Consider the following 4201-nt stretch of genomic DNA (forward strand, 5'->3'; position numbering starts at 1 on the left):
ATCGTCCACAGTAATGGGAATAAGAGTGAAGTTCCAGTCCCTGTTGGGTCAGACACAGAGCAGGGAGAGAGAGGCCGCTGGGTAACTGGGTCCTGGGGCTGCCATGCTTCCTGCAGGGGACTGGCTCAGTACCAGGCACTCTGCTCCACCTGACAGTTTGTGGCTGGGAATAAGTCTATGTGATTTTTGTCAAAGAGAGTTACCTAGAATCTAAGAATGTGCTGTTGGAAGGAAACTTACCATAAAGTCCTGCCCCCTTCTGCACTTATAACACCCCTATCAAATGGCCATGGCCGTGCTTATGCCCCACCAATGACAGGGACCTCAGTGTGTCCTAAGGCTTCCATTCCATTTTTGTATGACTCTGACCACATAAAGATCTTCTCTAATATTATGAGTTAAAACTTGCCTTTCTGTAATTTCTTCATGTTTCCCGGTTGAAATCACTTGCTACAAATATGACTCCTCACACACTCAGTGGCTGTTCAAGTAGGATTCAGAGCAAAGCAGAGGTAAGTGCCTAGTATAGCTGCTCTTTTCTCTTCCTAAAACCCCTGATTCCATTCCTTCCCCGGGTAGTTTCCTGGGGCATATGCAAATTTTTACTATTGGTGGGTCTTCCCAGCTGGCATTTATTGTCGAGAGGTGGCAAGGTTGGCATGAGATGGTCAGCACAACTCCCCTTCCCCCAGTCTCCAGGAAAAGAAGTGTCTTCTAAGCTGAGTATATTCACCTTGCTTGGCACATTTTTGAGCCCAACATACTTCCCCAAGGTTTTTGGTGGCAGTTTTCTGGTCCACGTAGTTGCTGACCACACAAGTGAGGCTGGCATTGAACTGGCTCGGGGGCAGGCTCACAGCCAGAATCCATGGGTTGGAGGCTGGTCCTAGTGTCCCTATCTGCTCCAGCTCCTGGGGAGGCCCTGGCTCTCTCAGGTCACGTTCAGGTCATCTGTGGTCCCTGGAACCCTTCACTCCATGGTGATGTTGCACCAGCCTGGTGTAATGGATGATGACTCAGCCAGGATCTGGGGGAGGGGCACAGACTCTGGGAAGGAGGAAATAAAATAATAATTATTATAATTCTAAGGCATGTTCTTCATTGATTATCTAACTTAGTTTCAGAGCACCTTGATGAGCAGGCAAGATATTTCACAGCCAAAGAAACCAAGATTTGAAGAAGTAAAATAGTTTGCCCAAAGTCATATCCTGAGAAAGTGATACAGAACCCCAGATTTAGAGAAGGTGTAACAGCCAAAGTCTTGTAGCTTCCTCCACCACTTCTGTGTCCCCTGCCTGTACTACACGCAGCTGAATCCACATTCATTGCCCTTCAAATGCCTCATCAGATCCTTTACAATCCTCAGAGAACTTGGAGGGTACAATAAAACCTCTTGGGAAAATGCCTTCCACTGAAGAATTTGCAAAGCTAGTTCTGAAAACTGGGTTTGAGACTCTTAAGCTCTCATTTATATTGAAGGCATAAAAACTTAGGATTTGGTGATCATGGGAAAAAAAGTTCTTTGGAAAGAGCTCTGCTATGGGTCCCCTCCACACCCCATGGGTACCTACCCTTCACCTCAAGCCTGGTGAGAGTGGCATCAATAAGACCATTCAGAGAACTTGATGTGTGTCCCCTGCAGCTTGGGGATGCACTGGACAGGTGCTTGACTCACATCTGAGCCTATGGCCGCAGAGTCAGGACTACCAGTGGGGAAACTGCATCCAAATTGAGGAGTCAAATGAAACTGCTTTTCATCTGCTGGACACGGGACCTTAAAAGAATTTGTCAAGAGGGTCACTTGAAGGAGCAATAGAACCCTAGTAGGGAAAGTCTGTATGAAAACGGACCAGCTGGGAAACAGGGGCCAAAGAGAGAGTCATCAGTGGTCACACTGAGAGTGCATTGTGAATGACAAAGTAGGTGACAGATTTGCAGCATGGGTGAAAAAGGCTATCTATCCAGGGAAGCTATGAAAATGCCCTGGGGGAGAAAGAATTAGCCTGCACACTATCAAGCCCAGAGAACCAACTGATGACCACGTAGAACTACTCAGGAAAGCCTTTCCCATCTCTTTCATCTCCATCCTCTTTACTGCTTCTCCCTGCCTGTCCTCATGGAGTTGGGGGAAGGAGGTCCATCTTTTGGCTCTTCTTCACCTTTGTAGGTGTTTGCAGGGAATTTTATCCTGGTCTTTGGGTATCACTCTCCACATCTGCTGCTGATGGGACTGGTCCTGCTTGGCTGGGGCTGGGGTGGGCAGGTGCTGCTGACACCTGTGGTTCCTGCCACAGCCTTTGTAATGAGGTTCATGCTCTCTGATATTCCTTATTTGAGCTCAGGCTTCTTCTGGCTCAGGACCCCTCTCAGTAATTCATTTCTCTATGGAGGCCCAAGAGAACTGCAGAATCTCCCAGCATCATGCACAAGCTGAGGAGAACTTGTAGCACTTCTAGAGGCCCTTGTTCTTCTGAAACATACCATGCCCCAATTTCTGCTCAACAGGGCCCCCTGGGAGGAGGCCCTGCCCTCCCTTGTCAAAGGTAAGTGGGACCTAATCCCCGTCTTTGTTTTTCCTGTCAACCTATCTGGAGGTCCTATCACCTGGCCTGCTCTGTTACCTTCTGCCCCACAGCGCCCTCTGTTGAGTCCTAGGAAATGGTGATATCAAGTCCCTTCTGAGTCATAATCAGAGTCTCAACTTTAGGCATTTCTTCAATGCTTACTTAGATACAGAACATTATATATAGATGGTGGAAAATTACTCATATACATATCTTACCTAGCATTTTTTAATTTTGTGACTTGGAAGAACTCTATCCTCTGAATCTGCAATCTTTGGTTTGGAACACACAAATCTATTTTTTTTTCTATCAATAAAATTTAGTTCTTGCCCATTTTGGCAGTCAAAAGGTGAACACTGAGTTCTGCATTCTCAGTAGGGTTCTAACCTCTGCCTGAAGTAATGGCTGACTGCATCCCAAATGTTGTATGCTTGTGGGCAATAAGAATTACAGAAATGGAAAAGATACTTTGGAAACTTCCAGAGAAGAAGGCACTTGAACTGACACAGTAAGCCCCTCCTAACACTCTGACCACACAATAGTGTTTGATAAAAACATAAAAAAAATTTTAATTATGTAACTTAGGTTCAGGAAAACTCCAGGTACAGAAACAAGAGGGAACTCCATGCTAAGGAGGTGAGTGGGATTTGAAGTTCTGGAGACCCAAGAAGTTATCAGAACCAGAAGCAGAGCTTAGACGCCCATGTTTATATCCCTACATGAGGATGAAGTCTAGGCTGTGCTTGTGCTTGTAGTGAAGCTGCGCAAAGCCAGATGAGGGGTTGGGGTGGATATAGGAGAACGAGTCTGTCTTCTCATTTAGGAAACCAGGTTGGGGAATGCCACCTGTCCTGTCTTAAAGATGGAATCTGTGAGAAATTGGAATCCAATCCTGCACAGTGCATGAATGTGGACATTAATTTTCACTTTGTGCTAGAACTTTGAGCCCAGAAACAACCTTAAAAATAGATGAAACCTATAGGACCCCAGCAGTGGAAACAATAAACCCATGAGGAGACTTCCTCATCTCAGGGCACAGTGTGGGCTCTTGTAAAGAACAATCACTGCTGAAGATATGATAACAGTAAAAAATTACCAACATGTTAGGAAATGCACAAGCTTCTGATAGAGAGTTAGCAAAGGCCACTAACCAGAAGTCTTAGTCTGGCAACCACAATTAACAGAGAAATTTGCAACGGAGCTTCAGAAAACCATGCTTAAACTCTAGAAAGAGCTAAAGGGAGAAGTCAAGCCTGTAATACAAAACAAAACATTTTGAAGAAAAAACAGGCAGGAGGGAATGAGAAGGAAAAATCTTAAGCGAAGAAACAGGTAAAAGACATGGCAAATATTAAAAAGTATTGATGGTAAATATATATCTATATAGTCAGATAATATTTCAAACTTACTTACTCAGTAGGGAAGTAAATCCAGGGAGTCATAACTCGGGAGCCTGTGCCTGTCAGAAGTGGACCTCTATTGACTGAGAATATCTCACTAAGGGCCACAGTGGGATCAGGTGCCTTCAGGAACCACTGGGGCAGGAGATGCTCTATCCCCAGCGATGGAAGCAGAAGGCTTGCTTAGCCCCAGACACCTTCTCTAGACATGGGCTCCTCACTTTTCCCAAGGGTCTT

General features: G+C 45.4%; 2 annotated features.

Annotated features, from left to right (window-relative positions):
• Window positions 305–1504: an enhancer, noted in NCBI's record as "BRD4-independent group 4 enhancer chr1:157593763-157594962 (GRCh37/hg19 assembly coordinates)". NCBI's record gives its function as "activates an origin of replication core promoter dependent on BRD2, P300/CBP, MED14 and CDK7 cofactors, and independent of BRD4, by STARR-seq in HCT116 cells {active_cell/tissue: HCT116}" and the evidence as "EXISTENCE:reporter gene assay evidence [ECO:0000049][PMID:35650434]".
• Window positions 2625–2694: a silencer, noted in NCBI's record as "silent region_1447". NCBI's record gives its function as "represses an Ori minimal core promoter by ATAC-STARR-seq in GM12878 lymphoblastoid cells {active_cell/tissue: GM12878}" and the evidence as "EXISTENCE:reporter gene assay evidence [ECO:0000049][PMID:35858748]".

Source organism: Homo sapiens, chromosome 1, assembly GCF_000001405.40.
Source record: "Homo sapiens chromosome 1, GRCh38.p14 Primary Assembly".
NCBI classification, from domain to species: domain Eukaryota; kingdom Metazoa; phylum Chordata; class Mammalia; order Primates; family Hominidae; genus Homo; species Homo sapiens.